At 44.7% G+C, this 24,335-nt stretch overlaps 1 long non-coding RNA gene across 2 annotated transcripts, besides 5 other annotated features; it reads left to right on the forward strand.

The window, feature by feature from the left end:
• Positions 40–541: an enhancer, noted in NCBI's record as "H3K4me1 hESC enhancer chr1:208131807-208132308 (GRCh37/hg19 assembly coordinates)". NCBI's record gives its function as "activates a minimal SCP1, AML or CMV promoter by ChIP-STARR-seq in primed H9 embryonic stem cells {active_cell/tissue: H9 hESC(primed)}" and the evidence as "EXISTENCE:reporter gene assay evidence [ECO:0000049][PMID:30033119]".
• Positions 542–1,041: an enhancer, noted in NCBI's record as "H3K4me1 hESC enhancer chr1:208132309-208132808 (GRCh37/hg19 assembly coordinates)". NCBI's record gives its function as "activates a minimal SCP1, AML or CMV promoter by ChIP-STARR-seq in primed H9 embryonic stem cells {active_cell/tissue: H9 hESC(primed)}" and the evidence as "EXISTENCE:reporter gene assay evidence [ECO:0000049][PMID:30033119]".
• Positions 569–9,720, forward strand: LINC02767 (long intergenic non-protein coding RNA 2767). 2 transcript variants are annotated; one of them, NR_167982.1, is made up of 3 exons: positions 569–653; positions 1,693–1,817; positions 7,206–9,720. It is a non-coding gene; the product is annotated as a long intergenic non-protein coding RNA 2767 (long non-coding RNA). The 2 variants fall into 2 exon arrangements; NR_167983.1 differs by having other exon boundaries at positions 9,035–9,720.
• Positions 4,843–4,942: an enhancer, noted in NCBI's record as "active region_2461". NCBI's record gives its function as "activates an Ori minimal core promoter by ATAC-STARR-seq in GM12878 lymphoblastoid cells {active_cell/tissue: GM12878}" and the evidence as "EXISTENCE:reporter gene assay evidence [ECO:0000049][PMID:35858748]".
• Positions 5,003–5,062: an enhancer, noted in NCBI's record as "active region_2462". NCBI's record gives its function as "activates an Ori minimal core promoter by ATAC-STARR-seq in GM12878 lymphoblastoid cells {active_cell/tissue: GM12878}" and the evidence as "EXISTENCE:reporter gene assay evidence [ECO:0000049][PMID:35858748]".
• Positions 5,749–6,278: an enhancer, noted in NCBI's record as "H3K4me1 hESC enhancer chr1:208137516-208138045 (GRCh37/hg19 assembly coordinates)". NCBI's record gives its function as "activates a minimal SCP1, AML or CMV promoter by ChIP-STARR-seq in primed H9 embryonic stem cells {active_cell/tissue: H9 hESC(primed)}" and the evidence as "EXISTENCE:reporter gene assay evidence [ECO:0000049][PMID:30033119]".
• Positions 9,721–24,335: the final 14,615 nt, after the last annotated feature.

Genomic DNA, 24,335 nt, shown 5'->3' on the forward strand with positions numbered 1-24,335 from the left:
TCTTCATTCCAAATGGAAAGGAGGCTGCTAAGGAGTCCACTTAAGTAATTTTTCCTGCGATAAAGACTTGCTTCCTTGTCACTTGCTGTCAACACCCCTCCACACAGCAGCGACTGCCTGGCTTAATTCTTAAAGTAGAGGCCTCTCAATAGACAGGGTGGACACTTCTTCGCCTCCTGGCAGGAGAGAGAAAGAACGGACTTCAATCTTTGGTTGGCAGGGCCTGACTAGGCAGTCGGGCACAGAACCCTAGGGCTTTCCCACCCCTTTGCTTTCTCACTTGTAAAACGAATAAAGGTACTGGTCCTGCCAGCTTCACAGGTTGCTGTACATAGAGGAATGGTTGGTTGAAAGTGCCCTGCATAACGCAAGCTCTTTAGGACTCGCAAACAGCCTTAATCGCAGTAAGGGGGCACATCAGGGCTGTGAGAAGGCCCCCTTGAGGGCTCGGCACAGGTGATTCTGGGCTCTCTGTGCTTGCCAGCCTCCTAAAGTAGGTGCCCACTTTCAGAAGCTCTGCACGCCCCACCTGGGCGCCTCTGCTGGAGGTCTGCCTGGCCCGGGGCACCCGTGTGCGCGCGAGGATTTCTTTTGCAGAGAATGAAACCACCGTTCCTTTCCGTCCGTGGTCTACTCCGGGGTCCCCATCCCACGTAAGTGCTGTGGAACCCCGGGGTGATGAGCCCCGGGGGAAGCCAGCATCTCTTGCCCTCCAGTGCCGGCGCCCGGCAGAGCCCCGGGACTCCTAGTTTTTGCCGCCGCTGAGGACGCGGCGCGGGCTGCTGGCCGCGTCGCCGAGGGAGGGCCCGGACAGCCCTGCAGCGCGTCTCAGCGGAGCCCTGGGGGCCGCGCCGCTCCTCCAAACATGATTCAGAACCGCCCGTCAGCCTTGGCTCCAGCGCCTGGCGCGAGCGAACCGGGCTTGGCTGTCTCGGCCCCGTCTGAACCCTGCGGGCCGCGGGCCAGGGCGCGCCGGGATCCGCTGCGCCAGGACCCTGCAGACCCGGCCGCGGCCGGGCCGAGTGCCTCCCGCCGGGGCCTTACGCCCACGGTCCACGCTTGCAACACCAGGGCTGTACGGCGGGTCCGCAGCTGGGTCTGCGCCTGGGACTCGGGGCTCCCTGCGCTCCTCGTGCCGCACCCCTTGCCTTAACCCCAAGCGGACGGGTCCTGGGGCTTCACCGGCCAGGCCGGAGCCCCAGCCCCACAACTCCCCCCCTCCCACCGCACTGCCCCCTCTGCGCTGTGGCGGGAGTTGGGGACTGGGGCCGGAGAAAGGAGACGCGCCGGTCCTCAAGTCTCTTGAGCCATTTCGGTTCCGGGCGCGCCCCCCAGGGCTGCAGTCGCGCGAGGTTCCAGATAGTGCAGCTGTGTGGCGCCAGGCTTCCAGCGGGTTCTTGGTGGGGGTTCCCTCTCTGTGAGTCGGTGGGCAGAGATTTGCCTTGGAGGGTCGCACCTGGCTACAGAAGTATGAGACTTAGTTTCCGGGGAGCAGAGGGGCCTTGGGATAAGGAACTGAAGCTTCTGGGGAGTAGTTTGGAATTTTGGTTCCACCAATTATCAGCTGTCCAACCTGGAGAAATCCACTCCCCCTGTTTTCTTGGTTATAAATAACTATAGCTACCATTTGAGTGCTTATTATTTTCCATGTACTTTACGTATGTTATTTTTATCTTTCCAACGATTTTACAGGCCATATTCTGCTGATGGAGAAATGGGATCTCACCCAAGGAAAGTGACTTGCCAGGGTTACACCACTGGTAAGTGGAGACCTATGACTTGAACCTGTCTCTAACTCCAGAGACTGTACTTTCTCGGTAAGTGAGAACATTGACGCCATACAAAGAATTTTAAAACTGTAAGATGGTGACGGATACCATTCTCTTCTGACCTGTCCTCAGGCCACGTCCTGAAGTCCAGGCTGAAAGCATGACCTTTCTTTCTCCCTACCTCCTCAGCCACGCTTCCCTAGGCGGGTCAGAGTGCAAGAGGTAGGGTCTGGGACTGGGGACCCCTGGGTCAGCCTTGCACACCACCCCCACCTGGACCCTTCCCATCCTCATTTCTACCCCACACTGCTCAATGTCCTTGAGAGACAAGGTGGTGTCACTGTTGTGGCATTTCTCCTCCACTACCAGTTGCACAAGAGGATTTTCTCCTGTGCTCAGAGTGGGAAGAAGACCAAGAAGGTCTGTACAGTAACTCGAGAACCCTGGGGCCCAGTTTGAGCTCTTAGGACGCCAGCAGTGCCTCAACTTTCTCATCTGTGTTTAGAATTCACTTTGCAGAGAAAATGAGTGGACTCTTGGGGAGAGGAGGGCCTGGGTGTCAGAGAAATTTGGGTGCCAGTCTTTTGTAAAATGGAATCTATTGATAATGCCACCACCAGTCTTGCCTGACCCCACAAGAGTTGCGGTAAGACTCAAAATGGATAATGGCCACACAGTGCTCTGGGAAGTGTGAAGTGCCTCATAAACATAAGATGGTATTATTCATAGAAGCCATTGCAGGCAACAGGAATACAAAGATGAATGCCATCTTGGAAACTTTCAGGCTAGCAGGGGAAATATGAATGGCCATACAGTTAAAATATAAAACAGGGCATGCAAATGCTCCACCAATATGCCCGCGTGGTGCCAACTCATACTGATTTTGTAATAACAAAGAATATATACAGGTCTATCTGGGTGACCTCTACTACTATTGCAAGAACTCCTCTCCACAATGGCTCTAGCCAATCTGTCTCCCCTCTACAATTAGCTTCCTTCTTACCACCTGCGTGATCTATGGCAGGATTTTTTTTCCTTTGGAGTGTGTTTGTATTAGTTCCCTATTGCTGCTGTGATTGATAACCACACACGTAGTGGCTTAAAACAACACACGTTTGTTATCTTACAGTTCTGGATGTAAGAAGTCCAAAATGTGTCTCACTGGGCTAAAATCAAGGTGTCAGCAGGACTGTTCCTTCTGGAGGCTCTGGGGGAGACTGTTTCCTTGACTTCTCCAGGTTTTCGAGGCCACCTGCATTCCTTGGTCTGCGGCCCCTTCTCCATCTTCAAAGCTATCAGTGACCAGCCGAGTCTTTCTCACATTGAATCACTGCCACCTCTGCTTCTGTGGACACATCTCCTTCTTTCCCTAACACTGTTTTCTCCCCATCTCAAGAATCTTAATATAATTATATCTTTAAAGTTCCTTTTGCCTTGTAAGGTAGCCGTTTCACAGGTTCCAGGGATTAACACCTGGACATCTTTGAGTCGGAGGGAGCATTTATCAAAAAACAAAAACCCTAGGGCCTCAAACAAAACATTTTTAAAAGAGAAATATAAAAGCTTCAACTCTTCTTCAAATAAGTAACATAGCAACTTTTTCTATAAATGTAACAAATTCTGAAAAAAAAAACCAAAAAAAACAAAGAAACAAACTTTCAGTTCCTAACTACACCCATAAAAAATCAGACTCCCTGGTGTCAGGGAAGAAGAAACAATGGGTGACAATAAATAGACTCCACATAAAAGGGAAGGGAAAGGCTCCCTAGGTTGAGAAGTTATGATATGTGCTTCACTGGGAATGTAGGTACAGCCTTTGGAAATGATTAGTTGTTAACAATTGTCCACAGCTCTTCAGCTGCTCTACTTTATAATCCTTTAGTGTAGTGACATCTAAAACATTTTTTAAATAAATCAATCAACTGTATTTTTTAGAAAAATTTTAGTTCACAGCAATATTGAGCAGAAAGTAGAGTTGCTTGTCCCTTCACCCTCCTCCCACTTAAAACATTTTTAAAGCATTAATAGAATTCTTGGCTCCTTATTTTCCCCCCAAAAGAAATTCCTACCTAAAAAATAAAAATCGTGCTGCTCTGGTTCAAGTGGACTCATGGAGTCCCTCAACCTCTGTAAATCCTACTGCATGGTTTAACACCTGTTTTGCAGTTACTTCTCTTGAGTGGAATAATGAGAATAACTCAAGTTAGAAAGTACCCTCCGGACCACAGAAGTAGGGAGACTGTCATGTTGGAAATTATTCTCCAGGCTTCAGAAGCAAGAATTGTCATAATATTCTCCCAGGAATTAGAAAAGAGCAGGCTCTTGTTCTGACGTAGAAGCATAGAGTCTTCTAGGCCATAAATCTGCTTATTTTAGTTACAATAGTGAAAGGGCCAGTGGGCAACACGGTAAAAAGTACATGGGCCCAGAAATTGGGGACTTGGATGGGGCAGCTGGGATGTAGGGGACATATTAATTAAGACCTAGTGTGGGCCTTTCGTATTCTGGGTCAGATAAGTGAACAAGCAGGTGAGGTTCTGTGTGGGCTACCCTGGAATACAGTGTTGCATAGGGTTGTGTGAGAGGTGCGGGGAACGCCTAGAAAACTTTGCAGGGAGAATGTTTTCTAAGCCAACACCTAGAAGACAAGCAAGAGTTTGCTGGGCAGAGAGTGAAGCTGGGCGCGGCTGGGATCATGGAGCCGGATGTGCACAGCCGGGACATGGGGAAGAGCTGCAGTGGAGAGTGGGGTATGGTGGAGAGCAGTCAGGGCCAGACGATGCTGGCGGGCCTGGAGGCCTTGGGAGCGCTGACTTTCTCCAAGAGCTGGGGGTGCCAGGACAGGGTCCCAAGCAGCGGCCCTACGTGGCCTGGTTTGCTCTTCACTGGCAAGCTCCATGGCCCTGGGCAATGTGCTGCTTCTGTTTTTCTTCTCATCGGTGCCTGGCTGAGCTCTGGAATCGTTTCCTGCTCTGAGCCTGAAACTTCAAGCAGTAAGAAGACGGTCCACAGCCCGGTTACTGGGGCTCTGCAAATGCGACGTTCCCAGTGGCCCTCTCCCAGGCTCCGGGCCTCCGGGTAGAGGAACTTCTGTCTGTAAAGGATGAAGGCGACCTTGCTCAGGCTGCAGCGGGATGGAGAAACGTGACCCAGCGGAGGGGCTTTCGGCTGCGAGGTGCGAGAGGCGACCCGAGGGGTGAAAGCAAGGCGAGTGCGGTCAGCGCACCGGGCTGGGCGGCCTCCCAGCCGGCCGGGGAATTCGTTCCCAGCTCCAGCCGCATCTCACCGCCTCTATCGCGCCTTTGGGGCCTCAGAGGGAGGCTGCATGGCCCGGAGGCCTGAAATCCGCCATTTGTTCCCTCCCGGGGCGGCAGAGCCACAGCTCACTGAAGGCTGCAGCCTCGGCAGCCGGAAGCGCTGGCCGGGCGCTTGGCCAGCGACCGCCTCGGGTCGGCCTCGGGTCTGCGCAGGCGCAGGCTCGGGAAGCCGGGCGCGGTGGTGTTTCTGCGGCCCGCGGCTGCCCTCTCGTGGCCGCAAGGCGCCATGGCACGGCCGCTTCCACGCAGCGGAGGTGCGCTGGCCGGAAGGCGGCGGGTCCGGCCAGCCAGGGAGACCAGCCAAGCGCTGTGTTTTTCCAGGTCCGCGCGGGCCAGGGGAACCCTGCGTGTTTGCTTGGTGGGAGTGGTTTACTGGGAAAGTAGACGGAAGGTACCCTGCAAATCGGCGTGCACTGTATTGTTTGGGAGTCAACAGCCTGGAAAGTAAATATCAGGTGAGGGCAGTGCTGGGAACCACCGCCTGCCCCCTCCCCTGGCCTTGGCCCTGACTTTGAGCGGGGCACCGCGGGCCAAACAGCTCGGCGGCCCAGGGGAGAGGGAGGAGGAGGAGGAGGCAGGCAGCGGGGGAGGTGTCAAGACTCAGAAATAGGAGCCAGCTAGGCCCAACATACGCCTGCCACCCCAGGGGCTGCAAACAGGGAATACCATCCCTTCTGCCCACCCCACGAAGACATCGTACACCCCGACGAGTCACCATTCCAGAAAGGCTGGCTTTCTGCAAGCGTGCGGGGGCGGTGAGAGTGGAGGGTGGCGGGGTTGCTCGGGGCCCACCCAAGCATAACTGTCTGAAGGGCACACCTCACAACGGAAGGTTTAGGCGAGAGGGGTGAACCCACACTCTGGCACGAGAATCATATGTTCTGTTCCACCCAGGGAGCCGCACTACATAGAGTTCTCTTTAAATTCATCTTCACTGGCTGGGTGTGGCTGAGTCTTCTCCTATCTCCTGATTCTCAGTTAACTTTTTGCGTCCCACCCTGTTCTTGTCTCAAGCAGTCGCTTTGGAATGTGTTTCCTCTCGTCCGGGGTTTGAAGATTAGTCATGAAAAACATCACTCTGCCCTTGCTGAAGTGCATGTTGGCTACTCGATCATTCCACCTGTGTGCCCCAAGACGGTCTGCTAAGGAGGGCTCCCCTCTTTTCCATGCCCTCTCAGCTCCAGACTCCATCCCATCCATCAACATTATCCTGTGCCCCCGAGGGAGGAGGGCGGGGGAGGGTTTCTGTGCCTGGATTATTGGTGAGAGGAGAGCAAGTGCAGAAATGAAGCTATGACTCTTGCAGAAGTCATGCATTCCGTTCAAGGATATTCCTTTCCGTAGCCTCCACACATTCCCTCTGGCTGCAGGCCCCTGGGATTTTTCTGTGTGACCCCGTCACATTGCATCTGTATAGATTGTCAAAGCACCTCATGACTGTGGAGGAAGAAGTCGGGGACAGAACATGGATCTGGAAGGCTCACAGCATGGATTTGGTAGGGTGACACAATGTCCCATGTTCTTCAAGAAATGTCTAGACTAGGTGATTGATTCTATCGTAGATCTGGCACAATGCTCCTGCCACACAGGGGGCAAATTGAGATCCAGAGAGAAGTGACTGGCCCAGGTCACTCAGCCAGCTGGTAACTTAGCTGGAATTCGTTCCCAGGTCTCCTGACATCCAGTTCATTCATTTTTTGCACGTTTCCTGAGGACTTACTGTATGCTAGGCACTGTTGTAGGTGCTAGGCATATACAAAGTGCCCGTATAGAGCTTGTGTCTTGTAGTGTGTGTGTGGGGAGATTGTGGATAAACAAATAAACAGATTTATCCAGAATGCCACATGGTTAAAAGTTTTTATGATACTCAGTGCCTCTTTTCCTCTTGTTTTTGAAGGGAATGGGTTTGAGGCTTGAGAAGAGATGTTCACTCATACACTGGGTCATTAAATAAACATTAGAGGATGCCCCACTATGTGCCAGATGCTGTGCAGGGCACACAGATATAAAGGCAGGGGTCTGTCTTCAAAAGCTGCCACCAGCTGGGCAGATAAGGTATTCCTCTTAGCATCTTTACATGGATTTCTGTAATTGTTATGCTAATTGTTTTTCTCCCCAGATCTCTCCCAAAAAGGATGCTTGTAGAAAACGATGATTCTGAAATGGTACAAATCCCTTTCCCAAAAGGCATCTCAAAGCCAGCCGCTGCTACTGACTTATTGATGGCTATCACCCAGTGGCCTTGGGGAGGCGGTGGGAAGCCCAACCACTGCCTGTAATAAGGAGAGACAACTCAGCATCCACCCTGCAGTGAATAATAGAACAAAAAGCTGCCGGCGCCTGCAGGATCAAAGCACATGAGCGATCACAGTGTCTCTGGGTTAAATAGATCCGCGAAGGCCAGGCAGCCAGCAGATGTCATGGAACTTTTTGGGGGAGAAGTCTGGGTTATGGAGGAAGCCTCAGCTGGATTTCAGTACCTTACAAGATGCTCTTCTGTGGCTCTCTCCTGCTAACCTTCCTTGGACATGGAATAATCTTCCCTTTATCCTCCCTCTTCACCACTGCTGTTCCCAAAGTCTAAAAAGATGGGGGCAGGAGGTGAGACAGGAGGGGATGGGAAAAGAATACTGGACCAGGAGGCAGGAGACACTGGATCTGTGAGTGAAGGCAATGCTGAATGACTTCCATGGCCTCAGTCTCCCCATCTGTAAAATGGGAAGGTTGATATATGGCCTCAACCTTTCTGCCCACTTTGATAAACCATATTTCACCAAAAAGAGGCAGAGGGGATCTGTTGCTTTTCAGATTCCTGTCCAGTTACTTCTAGGTCAGACAGAATGATTGCCCCAATGATTCTGGGTCCGCAGACTCAGTCTGTGAAACCCCATTTCTTGGAGGAGTTGGGATCAGGACAGGCAAGAAGACTATACTATTCCTGCCTCCTATTTGCTCCCTCTTGCCAGTGGGGAAATCAGTGGCAACCTTAGAGTAATCTTGGAGGGGTGGGGGGATGAGTTATTATTGGGATTTTTATCTGCAAAGAATATTTTCAGATGTTGTTTGTGCATTTAAATGTACATGCAGTTCTAGAGGAGAAGACTCTAGTGGTTGCGGTGCTGTGAGGCATTTTGCATATATTTATCTCACTCAAGAAGAACTGTGGGGTCCTTGTGAAAGTAAGTGTGTATGTGTGTGTGTGTGTGTGTGCGCATGTCCTGAGTCAGCCTGAGTCCTGAGCCTTTTGTCTTTGCTCCTGAGTAAGCCACTGGGGGAGGTAAATATATAATTGGAGGAAGAAATGTGTCAGAAAATAACTTCTTTACTTGTGGAAAGTCATTGAAAACCCTTGGTTTTGCGTATGAGCACAGCACCCTGTAGGCAGGTGAGGAGTCTTAGAACACGGCGGGGAGCGAACCAGACACGTACTAAAGAAACCTCCATGTTTGATATAAACCCAATGCACAGGTCCACACAGACAGGGCATGGAGGTGTGCTCCACAGGGCCACCACACGGACCTCTGTGATGGCAAGCCCGGATGCATGTACAACTAAACATCCTCACAGATACACTTTAATGTAGGTGGAGACCTGGTGTTATGGGTTAGACTATGTCCCCCCACAAAATATATGCTCAAGTCTCATCTGCCATCTACATTATTTGGAAATAGGGTCTTTGCAGATGTAAACTGGTTAAGATAATAAAAAAAAAAATAAATAAATAAAGGTAATGGCAACAATGAAAAAAAAAAGTAAGTCATCCTGGGATAGGGTGGGAGAGCCCTAATTCAATGTGACTGGTGTCCTCGAAAGAAGAGGGGAATTTGGACACAGAGACACAGCTGAACTTACTGAGCAGAGCCTCCCAGATGCTGCAAACTCAAGGAGGCCTCTGTGCTCATATCTTTATTCTCTCTCTCTCTCTCTCTCTCTCTGTCTCTGGTACAGCGTTTATGCTTTTTGGCAGTTCTTTCCTCTTCATTCCCCCATCTCTCCAATTACACATTCATATACACATAAACACTCCGATACCCTCAAACTACCAGAAGCCACGTCAGAGACTTGAGAACTTTGGACCAGGAACTGATGGAGACAAAGATGACCTAGGAAGATGGCTACATTGGGAATGGAGGCAGAGATTGGAGTTATGTGGCCACAAGGGAAGGAACTCCTGGGGCTCCCAGAAGCTGGAAGAAACAAGGATCCTTCCCCTATAGGCTTTGGAGGGAGCGTGGCTCTGCAACACCTTGGTTTTGGACTTCTAGCTCCAGAAGTGTAAGAGAATAAATTTCTGTGATCTCATATTCAGTTCATGGTGCTATATCATGGTAGCCCTAGAAACTAAGATACACAGGTATGTTGGATGTATGGGTCAGGCCCACACCCAGGGTGCATACGGCCTTTGGTTAAAAAAAAACTCTCATTTCTGTGGGGAATCCATTGCCAGTGGTCTGGATGACATGGCCACTGCCTCTCTTCAGGGATGTGCACAAGACCCTGGCCTGGCCAATCAGAATACCTCATGCCCAGGACCACAGTAACTGGGTCAGGGGTTGTCAAGATTTATATAAATGATTTACATAAAATGTTTAAATGTTTTGTTAAAATATTTAAAATAAAAAATGTTTCTAAGATTTCAGTTGCCAATTGTTTTTTGTGAGTATATACAAATACAACTGATTTTTACATATTGGTTTTGTATCCTGTATACTTGCTAAATTCATGCATTAGTTGTATTTTTCTAGATTTCTTAGAATTTTCTATGTACACAAATCACAATGTCTGTGAATATACACGACATTACTTCTTCGTTTCCAAAACTTATGCTTTTCACTTCTTGTTCTTGCCTTGTTGCACTGGGTAGAACCTCAGTTGTATATTAAATATATTTTTTAAAAAGGTAGACATTTGAGCCTTGTTTCCAATCTTGGGAAGACACTATTCAGTCTTTTGCCCTTGTCTGCTTCTAAGCTGCCAAAGCCTGTGCTGTGGTGGGGAAATGTCACTCTGTGGGCCAGCCATGGTGTGAGTGTGCAGATGGGACAGCAGCAGCAGGTGCATTCTCCTGGGAGGCCAGGCCTGGTGGCAGGCATCTGTAATCCCTGCTATTTGGGAGGCTGAAGCTGGAGGGTGGCTTGAGCCTGGGAGTTCGAGTCCAGCCTGAGCCACACAGCGAGACACTGTCTCTTAAAACAAAAAATAAAAAACAAAACCAACAACCCCCACGCCTGCCTGCCAAATTTTCCTGGGGAAGGCAAGACACACAATTAAGAAAGTAAACATTATGTCATCCTTGTCTGTATCTCAGTAGCCATAGTTGTGGATTCCTTCAGTTCTCTCTTGGTAGAAGGTGGGGCCTGAATAAATGACGACATAAAGCCAGCTGAACTTAGTGAGCAGAGCCTCCCAGATGCTGCAAACTCAAGGAGGCCTCTGTGCTCAGATCTTTATTTTCTCTCTCTCTCTCTCTCTGTCTCTGGCACAGCGTTTATGCTTTTTGGCAGTTCTTTCCTCTTCAATCCCCCATCTCTTCAATTACACATTCATGTACACATCAACACTCCGATACCCTCAAACTACCAGAAGCCACATCAGAGACTTGAGAGCTTTGGACCAGGAACTGATGGAGACAAAGACGACCTAGGAATGGTTGCTTGCCCTACCCTCAGGAGTTTACAATTACTGATAGAGACAGAAGTCTTTGCAGGAGGTGGGGGGCGGGGGGTAGGAGAAACTTTACAAACACACCTGTCAGCATACACAGGGATAATAATAGGAAAGGGGGTTTTCATACAAGGGAAGCATCTGGAAACTGGGAGGGTCCTACAAAGCTGTATAATCCAGCGTCTGTTGAGATGCAGGAGACCACCCCAGCTCCCAGGCCTGCCTTGATAAACACCTTGAATTTGCAAGATGAAGTTTGAGGATGGGTAGGAGATGCTAATTATAGCCTATATTAATGAAGCTATAAAGTAAATAATTGTAGCCTCCTATTACCAAGCACGAAGGGAATATTTTGGGTAATCTAAGTGGAAAGTCCAGAGCGTAGGTCTGGCTTTAGGCATGGTGGAGTAGTAGCCTAAGGCTCACATCCTACCAGTTAGCAACCAACCCCAGGAAGAGTAAAGCTCCTTCCCCACTAGCTTTGGCAGAAAAGTCCTATAGGAAGATCTGATTAGCTGGGTTTGGGTCACATGACTACCCCAACCCAATCACTGTGACCAAGGGCATGAGATATTCTGATTGGCCAGGCTAGGGTCTTGTGCCCATCCCTGAAGAGGGGCAGTGGCCATGCCATCCAGACCACTGGCAATGGATTCCCCACAGAAATCTTTTACTGGAAGAAGTAGGGAGCTCAGTTCCGGACAGGCAGCACAATTGCAGCCTATGACACCCTCTAAGCCTTAACTCCATGTATGACTGTATGAAGCAAATGACTTATCCTCATGATGCATGTTTCTTCATCTGAAAGAGCGGTCATAGTTTTGATTTATGTTATATTTACACAATGCATAGCATGAAGCCGATGGTCAAGAATGCACTCTGAGATGTTAGGGGGTATTCTATTCAACTGGAGCCCGTGGCACAGACATTTTCTTTGTAGCAAGCCACAGAGTAAGTGGTTTCATTCCCTGAGCCTCAATACCCGGTGGCCAACTAGGGTAACAGATTACTGTCCTTGGAAAGGCACAGAGCTCATCAGAAAGTGCAGGCAAGCCGGGCACAGTGGCTCATGCCTGTAATCCCAGCACTTTGGGAGGCCATGGCGGGCAGATCACAAGGTCAAAAGGTTGAGACGATCCTGGCCAACATGGTGAAACCCCGTCTCTACTAAAAATACAAAAATTAGCTGGGTGTGGTGGCAGGTGCCTGTAGTCCCAGCTACTTGGGAGGTTGAGGCAGGAGAATCGCTTGAACCTGGGAGGCGGAGGTTGCAGGGAGCTGAGATTGCGCCTGCCTGAGCCATGATCACATGCTTGTAGCTCAGAGCATGGTCCCTGAGGACACAAAGACAGGTGTCAAGTAGGTGGGTCTTGGGACACGCACTATGTGGCCCTCTTTTCTCCAGCTATCCCTGTCCCAACTCAAGCACAAATAAGATTACAGAAAGCCACAGAAGGCAGTATTCAGGAATTTAAAAGATAAACATGCACGGGGTAATTGAATAGCATTCTGCTGAAAAATGAGCTCTCAGAGCTCATAATCGAGGCTATGCTTTAGTGGAGGGGCTCTCCCCGTCTCCCTTTGCAAACCCAGGAGGCCAGCAGCTTTAACCCTTTGGGAGGGCTGTACTAGGGAAGGGCAGGCTTTGGCTTTGTGAAGACTGAGGAGTCGTGGGAAAAGTCCGATGATGGAATGAGGCGTCGGTGTTAGAGGGAGCCGCTTGTTTAAGCTGAGGGTGGAGAAGTGGGGTAGGCCCTGTGATTGCCAAGGGCCCATCAGCTCTGAGATTCCGATTCTACCATTATGATTTTTCAGATTCAACCATCAGAGATCTGCTGAGAGTGTACCATCTGTCTCGTCAGCACTGGGCTCTGCACTGTGGAATAAACATACAAAGAGTGAGAATACAGCAAATAGTTTATCTAGCATTCAGTGTGTGCCAAGCACTATTTTAAATGCTTTACATATAAGAACTAATTTGATCCTCACAGCAGCCACAGGAGGTAAGTTCTATTATTGTCCTAATTTGACCGTCAAAGAGTTTAAAGCAGAGTTTAAGTAACTTACTCAAGTTCATATGCTAGTAAGGAGAGAAGCAGGATTTAGACCCAGGGACAGGAGAAATAATATGATATGCATATTTAAGTATAAAAATATGATAACACAATCCCTGCTCACTTGAATTCACCATCTTGTGGGGAGCAAGGTGTCTGAAGGTTTGAAAACAAAGGGACATGATATGAGACCCAGAGTGGAAGGGCTGTCAGGGCCCTTTTTGTCAATCCCCTGCCTCTAAGGCCCAGCCTTTCTTAGCCACCCTTGGTAATAGCTGAGGACGGATGTTGCCCTTGGAACCATTACTCACGAACGTGCCGCACACCCCTACTCCCCCAAACCCACCTCCCTCTCCCCTTTTCTCCCTTTCTCTGGTTATTGTAATTATTTGGGAATTTACAGAATAATCTGTCACCAAGTCCTCCAGAACAAATTGAATGTCAGGTTTATAAAACAACCTAATAAAGCAGATGGCATCACCCGCTGGTAAATCTCTTCCCCGTTTCCTGCCCCACCCCCTCCCCACTTCAGTGTCTCAGAAGGCTGACAGATTATCCATTTACAGCCAGATTAATCCTGAACAGTATAAACATGGGGAGAAAATTACACTTTCTTGTCTCCATAATTGATAAGAAGGATACATTAATCTATAAAGCCCGGAGGAAAGGCCCATCTGTTTGCCCAGACAATCGTGGGGATGTCTGGGAAAGAAGGAGACCCGTCCATCTCTCTGTCTGTCTGTCTGTCTGCCTTTTTGTCAGAAACCACTTTTTCAGAAGCTGCCCTCCCCTTCCCTGGCCCCAGAAACTGGGCACCTGTAACCTTAGACAGTCCCCTGGCCCTGCGTGGGAGGTAGCAAGGTTCAAGGACCCACATCTCAGGATTCCAGGCCAGGGACAGAGACTCTGCCTCTCTCCAGCTTTCATCTTCTTTCCAGAAGTTATGTCCATTGCAGAGATGTCCACAAGCCCAGCTCTGTGGTGTTTCTAAGCTTGCCTTTGGTTTCCTCAGACCAGCCCTTGAGGAGATTCCAAGCAAAATTTGTTCAGTAAGATTCTCATTCAATTCCCTGCCTGCTCTCTCCTATTGCTTTATAACTTTTTGCAGATTTACACACTTCCTTCCCTGTTCCCCCCCTCTTCCAGCACCTTCTCTGTTAGTGGCAGCTGCGAGGCATTAATTGTCTCCTTGAGGCCTGTCAGAGCTGTCAGGAAATGTCCCAAGGGCCGATTTCTGCCAGTGGAGGGATGCGGTGGAGCCAGGGTTTCTGGTAGACTCTGCTCAAGAATTGACGGTCCCCTCCCAGCTCAGAGGTGATACTGAAAGGGACACATAAACATTGCCCCACTCCCTCTCTGTTTGGAGGATTTCCTAAGGCTCGTCCAGTCACTGTGCTTGGGATGGCTTGAGGAGGAGATGAAGGGAGCATGGCAGGTGGGTGGATTTATCTAGAGTGGGAGAGAGAGCCAGGGAAAGTCCTGAAAGGTCCCAGCTGGCCAGAAGAACCTCATTCGCCAGAAGGATCTCAATGAGATAAATAGAAAATTAAAATGAAGATGGGGGAGGAAGACAGGCAGAGCAGACCTCCGGAAAATGCCGAGGGGCCAGAAAAAAGGGATATTGAGAGATGGAATAAAAGAAATACAGAAGTCTATGGCAAGAGCTCGCAGTTCCTGTCTCCAGCATGGATGGGCATGTTTTGGGGTTTGGGGATCTCTGCTCCCTTAGTCTCTACTGTGTTATTTCCTCCGGAGGAGAGAGGGGGTGCTGCCTCCAAAGTGAGGCACATTCCTGACGCACTCCCTATTTTGTGTGGAGGTGCACTGAGTGCCCAGGGTCTGAGTAAATAGCAGGAATCTCACAGGTGGGTTGTGTTTTACCAAACGCTTCACACCCACCCCCCAGACTGCAGACTACCTTTGGTTAGGCTTTTCCAAAGAGGTGGACTGTGGGAGGAAATGCTGTGGACTGAAGTGTGGGCTCCCAGGGCCACTTGTCTCTGCGGGAATTGGTGGACACAGGAGGACTTCCGACAAATGTTCCAGTCTTTGTCTTGCAACTCCCAGCTCTTTGTACCAATGGTGCACGCTACTCCCGGCTGAAGTTTGAGGATGACGCTAACCAGGTTGTCCAGACTGGACTGTAGCTCTTAGAGCACTGATGGTGCTTGGGCTGTTCTTTGGGTTCCAGAGTTGAACAAAGTTAAACAGTGCTTCTTCCCCTGACTTACTTTTTGGTATTCTTTGCTTTCCATCTCTTCTCTACTTTGGCTAATTTTTCTCCACTTCTTTCTGTTTTTTTTTCCCTCTTGCTCTCTACATTCTACAACTTTGATTGTGGGTTTGATACAATCTCAACGAAATTGTAAATACTAACTCATTTTGGTTTCATGCTTTTCTTTTTAAAATAAATGATTAAGTTCTACATATGTGTATATTTTAAATTGACAATTGTAATTTTAAAGGAGAAAAAGATTAGTGACTCTGATTCCAGGGTTCTATAAACTTGGATGTAATATTCCATTTTCATTTACTAATTTTAATAAAAATTATTACAACATGAATTGTAAAGTAATAATATGTAAATTATCTAGAGAAACCAACAAAGCACTCAATTTTAGCCCCTAAATGTAGTAATTAATTCTGGATGATCATCTAAGGTTTGGAGGGTGAATTTTAATAGGTGTACGTTTGGGTAATAAAATGAAATTTTACTATTATTTGAGAGTCTCAAACTGCTTCAATCAATTAACTTGTTCTGTCTAAAGAGGCAGCTTTTGTGCTGTTTTAACAGTGAAAGCTGAGTTTCTTGGTTCTATCACTTCATTTTCATAGAGCCACAACCAGCATTAGCCTCCCACATGCTGTCCAAAGAGCAGGTTGCTGGGTTTTTTTTGTTTGTTTGTTTATTTAAATTGAAAAGCCTTGTGTTAGACATCCTCAAAAGATACAAGGAAAGTGAGAAATGCTACTTTTGTCCTTAAAAAGACAAGGCAGAGTTAGAAAATGTGCCTGTCCCAAAGATGTCATTAAGAACGTTACAAAACAAAACCAGCTGTTAAAAAAAAAAAAAAGTGACGTGACGTGCGAGAGAATTGGAGAATGGGGAACTGGGTTTTGTATTTGTCATATCTCACAGTTTTTCTCACATTGTCCCCTGTGCCTAGACTGCCTGTCCCATACTCTATGTCTCATACATTCCTGGCATCCCTTCCCCTTCCCCTCCTTGGTAGAAGTGACTGCTCCTCCTTTGGGTGGTCACTGTGTCTGCTCCATGCTTCTATTAACATCTTCTTGCATTTTAATATTATTCCATGTTTGTAAATTTAAGATTCAAGAAGCTCAGTAAACCACAAACAGGATAAACTCAAGGAAAACTTCACCTAATCTCATAGTCAAAATGGTGAAAATCAAAGCAAAGAAAGACTCTTTAAAGCTGCTAGAGGAAAAGCTACACATTACATATACACAGGTTCTGAGGGCTGCAGGTTTCTTCTTGTCCCATGAAGGTCAGAAGATGGGATCAACATCTCTAAAGTACTAAAAGAAGGAACTGTCAACTCAGGATTCTACATCCAGCAGAAATATCCTGCAGGTGTGAAGTCAAAATAGAGCTACTCTCAGATGCAGCAAAAGTGAGATAATTTATTACCAGAATACATTTTCTGTAATAAATGATAAAGGAAATTCATCAGAGGCTAAAAGATAATGATAACAAAAGAAAGTTGGATTTTAGGGAATGAAGGAAGAGCAACAGAAGTGGTAAATATCTGGGTAAATATAAGAGACTTTTTAAAAAAGTTTTAAAAAACACCTAGGACCATTGGAAGCAAAACTTATAACATAAGCTGGTGGAGTTTTTAATGTGTGAGGATATAGTCAAATGACAATTATAACATAGAAGTCATTTGAAGGGAATATTAAAGGACTTTTATGTGGTTGCAAAGCTTCTATATTTTACTTGAATGTGAAAATATATATATATAGTAATCTCTAAAGCAACCACTAAAAAATAATACAAACAGATTTAGCCACAATGCTAATGATAAATTTAAAAAGACTACTAAAAATTATCTAAGTAACCCAAAAGAAGGCTGAAAAAGGGGCATATAGGAAAGAAACTAGAGGGAGGCTGGGCACAGTTGTTCATGCCTATAATCCGAGGACTTTGGTAGGCCAAGGCAGGAGGATCACTTGAGCCCAGGAGTTTGAGACCAGCTTGGCCAACATAGCAAGACTCCATCTCTACAAAAAATTAAGAAAAAAAAATTAGCCAGGCATGATGGCATGTGCTTGTAGTCCCAGCTACTCAGGAGGCTGAGGGGGGATCACTTGAGCTCAGGAGTTTGAGGCTATAGTGATCTATGATGGTGACACTGCACTTCAGTCCAGATGACAGAGCAAGACACTGTCTCAAAAACAGAAAAACAAATAAAAAAAGAAGAGACAAATGGAAATCAAAGAGTAAAGTGGTAGAACTAAATCCAACAATATGAATAAGTACATTAAATGCTGATGATCTAAACCCTTCAATTAAAAGTCCAGGATTGACAGAGTGAATAAAAAGGCAAGTTGTTATTATATGCTGCCGTCAAATGACACATTTCAAATGCAAAGGCACAGATAGGTTTAAAGTAAATATATACCATGCAAATAATAAGCATAAGAAGCCTAGAATGGCTATTTTTAAATCAGCTAAAATAGATTTCAAGACAAAGAGTATCACTAGAGATAAAGAGGGACATTTCATAATGATAAAAGGGACAGTTCATCCAGAAGACATAGCAATTATAAATGTATATGAACCTAGTAACAGAACCATTCCAATCCTGGAAATAAAAACAATAAAAAGGAATGAACCTTGATACATAACCGAGATGAATCTGAAATCATTATATTTAGTAAAAAAAAAAAAGCCAGGCAAAAAATAGCACATACCATATAATTTCATTTATATAAAATTCTGGAAAATACACACTAATTTATAGTGACAGAAAGTAGATTAGTGGTTGCTTACAAATGGAGGTAGAGGCAGGCATGGATGTTGAAGAACACAAATAAGTTTTTGGAAGTGATGGAAATGTTTGTTGTCTTTATCATGGCAATTTTTTTGAATGTAAAATGGTCAAAACTCAACAAACTACATTTAAATATGGAGTTTAGTGTACTTCAGTTATAACTCAGTAAGATTGGAGAAAAATAAATGCCTAAAAAAAGTAATGAGTACTTACTAAACACTTCTAACTTCAATCTAATACTACAGGAGTTTTCCTCTTCTTTTTCCTTTCCTTATTTGTATCTTGTTCTTCCACAATGATTCTCTCCAAAAGATTCTTAGCCTCCCTGGTTCTCAACAACATCAGCATATATAGTCATTTGCCAAAATAGTTTGGGAATTGTTATTGTATATCATTACCAAAACAAAACAAAGTTCAAACTTTCTTTGCAGTTCTTATTTTATTTAGAACATGTCCCCCTGAGAATGTACAGTTCAAATACTATGTTCTCAAGAGTTACTTGGATTGGGGGGAGGAATAGCATTAGGAGATATACCTAATGTAAATGACAAGTTAATGGGTGCAGCACACCAACATGGCACATGTATACATACGTAACAAACATGCACGTTGTGCACATGTACCCTAGAACTTAAAGTATAATAAAAAAATATATAAATAAGGTACATTATATGCAAAGTTAAAAAAAAGAGTTACTTGGATTGATGTTTCCCTTCTGTATAGACACCTTGTCAACTACCAAAGGTATATAGATAAATTCATTTGTTTCTGTTTATACAATTTTCCTCATCAAACATGAGGAAAACATTTGATGATTTAATTTTATTTTCACGTATAGTAAAATATTTGGTGGGTCAAAAAGTAAAACTAAACAAAAGGTACATTTAAAGAACTGTTCCCCTTTCTTAGCATTTTCTTCTTGTTTCAACTCACTCCCTGCCAGAAACCAATTTCCCTGGCTTCTGATTTATCCTTCCTATGTTTCTTTTGCAAAAATGGGAATATATTTTTATTTTACTTTCTTTCATACAAAAATATAACATACTATCTATGATTTTTACTTTAAAATATCCTGGCAATCACTTCACATCAATTTACAGAGCTATTTCTCATTTTTATAACTGTGTATTATGCCTTTGAATGGATATACAATGACTTATTCTACCAATCTATCATTCATATATGCATAACAGATTCTTCCCAATATTTTGTCCTTATAAATAATACTATAAGTTGAGAATCTTAATTAAAACATCTGAAATTCAAAATGCTCCAAAATCCAAAACTTTTTGAGTGCCGACATGATGCCACGAGTGGAAAATCTCACACCAGACTTTGCTTCATGGGTCACAGTCAAAATGCAATTAAAACCTTGTTTCATGCATAAAATTATTAAAAATATCGTATAAAGTTAACTTCAGGCTACATGTATAGGGTATATATAAAACGTAAATGAATATTATATTTAGACTTGGGTCTGATGCCCAAGATAGTTCATTATTTATATGCAAATATTACAAAATCCAAAAAATATCTGAAATTGGAAACACTTCTGTTCCCAAGCATTTCAGCTAAGGGATACTCAACATGTATCATGAATGATCTTGTACATATTTTGTTTCACATTTTAGGATATGGATCTTCAAAGTAAATTAATATATTATTATTTATTGGATGAAAGGTTAAATCCATACATAGTTGTGTTAGATACTGCCAGATATTAGATATTATATTAAATATAGCCAAATCCCTTCTGTAGAGTTCTACCATTTTGCATTCCCACCAGCATTGAAATTGAGTGCCAATTTTTCCATATCCTGTCAACAGAATGCTTTGTGAAGCTTTTGAAATTTTGCCAATCTTGTAATTGCAAGATGGTATCTATGTGATTTTAATTAGCATTTCTCTTATTCTGATGCTCTTTTTATATATTTATGGATGATTTGTATATCTTTCTTTGTTTCCTTGATTTTTATGAGTTGTTTGTGCAACAGGCGTGTTAAACCTTTATCTGTGATATGCATTGCCAATTGCTAATATTTTCCCATTATATAATGTGTCTTTTGACTGTGTTTTTGGCGATTTCAGCCATGTAAAAGTTTTTTTTAATGTAATTGTATTAATCAATATTGTCTTTTATTGATTCTGAATTGGGAGTCATAATAAGACTTTTTAATAAGCCAGATTATAAGATAACTCACCTGTGTCCTAGTCCATGTTACTATAAAGGAATACCAAGGCTGGGTAATTTCTGGGTAATTTATAAAGAAAAGAGGTTTATTTCACTCATGATTCTGCAGGCTTTTTAGGAGAAGCATGGTGCCAGCATCTACTTCTGGTGAGAGCTTCAAGCTGTGTCCACTCACGGCAGAAGGCAGGGGTGAGCCAGCTTGTGCAGAAATCACATGATGAGAGTGGAGGCAAGAGAGAGAAGAATCAAGAGAGGAAGAAGGTGCCAGGCGCTTGTTAACAACCAGGTGTCTCAGGAACTAATAGAGTGATAACTCACTCATTACGGGGAGGAGGCCTCAAGCCATTTATGAGAGATCCGCCCCCATGGCTCAAAACACCTTCCAGTAGGCACCCCCTCCAACATCGAGGATCAGATTTTAACATGAGATTTGGAGGGGTCAAATATCCAAACCATAGCACCCTGTTTTCCTTTAATCCTGTGTGATTTCATGTGTGCATCACACATCTGATCTATTTGCAGTTTATTCTTGGATAGGGTGTGAGGTATGGTTCCAATTTTATCCTTTTCCAAATAGTTATCCAATTGCCTTAGCATTATTTATTTTAAAGTTCGTCTTTTCTCCGGTGATTTGATATGATACCTTTTTCATATAATACGTTTCTTATGGACTTCATCTATTTCTTTATCTCCTGCTTTATTAGTCTGCCTATTAGTGCAGCAGTACCATACTGTTTTAATTTTGGACAGAGCCTCTGTGTTTTAATTGATGCACTAAATCCCTGTATGGGTATTGTAATTCTATTAATTGAGGAGTTATTTCTGCTATGTTATTTCATATTTTATTTTTATTCTACATTTATTTTTTATTTGTTTTCTTTATGGTTTCTATTGGATAGATCAAATTTTCTTATGCTTATTTAAAGGTTTTATCTTCTACTTTTTTATTATGGTGGCTGCCTTTAATCCAAAACCTATAATTATATTTATTTGTCTTGATAATGTCTACAATTTTAGTTTTGAGGGGTTAGAACAGCTAGGGGAGCAAACCAGACAAGTACTAAAGAAACCTCCATGTTTGATATAAACCCAATGCACAGGTCCACACAGACAGGGCATGGAGGTGTGCTCCGCAGGGGCACCGCACAGACCTGTGTGAGGGCAAGCCTGGATGCATGTACAACTAAACATCCTCACAGATACACTTTAGTGTAGGTGGAGACCTGGTTTATGGGTTTTTCTGTTTCTTTTTTTTCTTTTTGTTATTTGGATATGCTTTTTTCTTACATTTTCTTTGATCCTTGCTTTTTTTTTTTTACACAATAATTTGTACCAAGTAATTTGACCATTCTTCCATCATATTTCTCTCTCAGCACTTTCCTGAATTTATTTCTCTTTTTATCGGGTACTCTTCCAAGAGTGTTTTCAAATTGGGATTTTGTGTGGCAAACTTTCTGAGGCCTCATATTCCTGGAAATATGTTCATGGCGTTCTTGCATGTAAGTGACAATTTGGCTGGATATGAAATTCTAGGTTCAATATTCTTTTTCCTTTAATACTTCAAACGTATTTTTCTCCATGTTTTCCTATGCCCAATGTACTCTTCAGAAATCTAATAAATTGTGATTCCTTACTTTTTTAGGTGACTGTTTTATCTTTCTGGAAACTTTTAGAATTTTCTTCTGATTTTTTTCTTTTTCAAGACAGAGTCTTGCTCTGTTGCCCAGGCTGCAGTGCAATGGCTTGATCTTGGCTCCCTGCAACCTCTGCCTCCAAGGTTCAAGTGATTCTCATGACTCCACCTCCCAAGCAGCTGGGATTACAGGCATGTGCCACCACACTCAGCTAATTTTTGTACTTTTAATGGAGACGGGGTTTCGCTATGTTGGCCAGGCTGGTCTCGAACTCCTGTCCTCAAGTGATCTGCCTGCCTCGGCCTCCCAAAGTTTTGGGATTACAGGCGTGAGCCACTGCTCCTGGCCTTCTTCTGTATGTTTAATATTCTTAGTTTCACTGAAGTATTCTAGGTGTGGGTTTTTCTTTATTCTTGTTGGCACTGTGCAAGTCCTTTCCATCTGAAGTCTTTTGTCTTTTATTCTTATTTCTTCAAATGTTTCCTCCCCTTCATGTTTTTCCTCACCTCCTGGGAATCTCATTGTTTGGATATTAGCACCTCAGTTTACTTATAACCATATTGTAAGTAAATGTAAGTCACAACATTCTTAGCCTTTATTTCATATTTTCTATCTTTTCATCTGCTGCTGCTGCCCTGCGGGAGAACATCTCGACATGATCTTTCAGCTTAGAAATTCTGCTTTCAGGGATGTCCATCCAGTAATTTATCCCTTCTGTTTGTTTCAAATCATTCATATACAATATTTCTATTTGTTTCCTTTTTATAATTTATTCTACCTGTTCCATATTTTAGTATCTTCTCTTCTGTTGGGAATATTTATTATGCTTGTTTAAAATCTTGGTGTATCTGTCTCAATTATCCTGGTTCACAGGATGCGTATTGTTCAGTTTGTTGCCTTTCTTTTAAAGTGGTTTTATTCCTTGAGGTCAAATTAATTTGGCCCGTAAACTTATGTTCCCTTGGGGCTGTCAGTTATTCTGCGCAGTACTGTGTAGTGAAGGAGCATCTGAAATCTTAGTCTATTACTTCCTGCTGAATTTAAATAAGAGGGGAGGGAATGAGCTCCAAGCCAGAGAGCCCCTGGTTCCACAGAAACCCTCTTGATATGTTCCAGCAACCTGCTATCCCCCTTCCCAATTTAGGATCCCTTTTAGATGCTACTTTCTTACTGTGCAACCCCTCTGTCCAGTATTTTCCTTTCAAAGAAGCAGACTTGGGAGGTGGCCATCCCTTTAGTAGATCCAGCAGGCTTCAGGGTTAAAGGGGCAGCAGAGGATGTAGGATGGATGAACGAATGCCCAAGGGCAGACAGAAGTCCATTTCTGGTCCCATTAGCTCTTATCCTAATAGGGTTTTTGGTTTTCTCTGATTATATTCTTGGAATCTCTGAGGACTTGGTTATGATGCTGCTTGTTCTAGGTAGACAATGGTCACCTTGTGTGTGTGTGTGTGTGTGTGTGCATGTGTGTGTAGAGGGGGTACAAGACCACAACTTTGGAGCAACTAATATCCCACTGGGGCTTCTCCCTTTTCTATTCCCATTCATCCACCCACCCGTCTCCTTCACACACACTGGATCTCTGTCTTCAGAAGCCTTTGGTCTTCCTGGAATTTCTCACTGTTTTATCTTTGGATCATCAGATCCATGGTATATTTTCTCTGCTGTGGTTTCCCCAAGATTAATTTTGGAGGTGGGAGCCAGTAGCCTATGCTCATTGGCCATCTTGTCAGAAAACAATGACTCATTCTTTTGGGGGGTAAATGCTCAGTCTTCGAAATGTCTTCTCCCTCTCCCTGGTCCTCTTCATTGTGATAGTGAGTTTACAAGACCTTGTGCAGCTGTGGAGAGAAGGATATCTTGAATTTACATCATTTCAAATTGCCCAGCTTTCTCCTGCAGAATGGCTGATCTGGGCTTGTGCTCAGCCTCATGACCCCTGGAGGTTTGGCTGTTTGGGGGATTATGCTGGCACCACTGTCAGAGTTTATGGTCTGGTCTGTGACTCTAGATGGGAAGCAGCTAGAGCCCTTTCATCAGACATCAAGCTTCAGCTGGTCCATGGCCCACCAGGCACCAGGGCATGGGGTGGTCCTATACCGCCCCTGCAGGCCATCAATAGATGTAGCAGGGAAACAAGAGCACAGCCTCATGCTTGCCCAATGGTTGCTTGTATGCTCTGTGCCATGTCGGATGTGCCTGTGTGCTGGACTTCTGTTAGGCTGAAGCTTCCAGCCTCCCCTAACCTACACCTGACAGTGTAGTGCCATCCTTCTAATATTCTTGATTGCCCCACATTTATATAGATGCTTCCACAGTGTTTCCCTTAACTAAAACCTGTAGAGTTCTGTACAAACTTCTGTTACGACCTCTCTCCCTTTGCATCGTAAGTATTTATGTTTCTGTCTCCCCAGCTAGAGAGTGAGCTCCCTTAGGGGGGAAACTGTGTAATATTTTTCCTTGCACTTCTCAGCATCTGGCCTAGGGCTTGGCATAAAATAAGCACCAGGTAAATGTGTGTTGAACCAAACTGAATAATACAAACTAAAAACAGATAAGTGCTTTAAAAGAAGTGTTTGGGGGAGAAAGGCTTTATTTATGGTTTGGGGATATGGAATGGTTTCTTAAGAAGGTAATAGTGGAGGGTTTAGACTGATGGAAAGAGAACATTCAGGGTGAGGGGAACAC

The sequence above is a fragment of the Homo sapiens genome, chromosome 1, assembly GCF_000001405.40.
Source record: "Homo sapiens chromosome 1, GRCh38.p14 Primary Assembly".
In the NCBI taxonomy this organism is placed as follows: domain Eukaryota; kingdom Metazoa; phylum Chordata; class Mammalia; order Primates; family Hominidae; genus Homo; species Homo sapiens.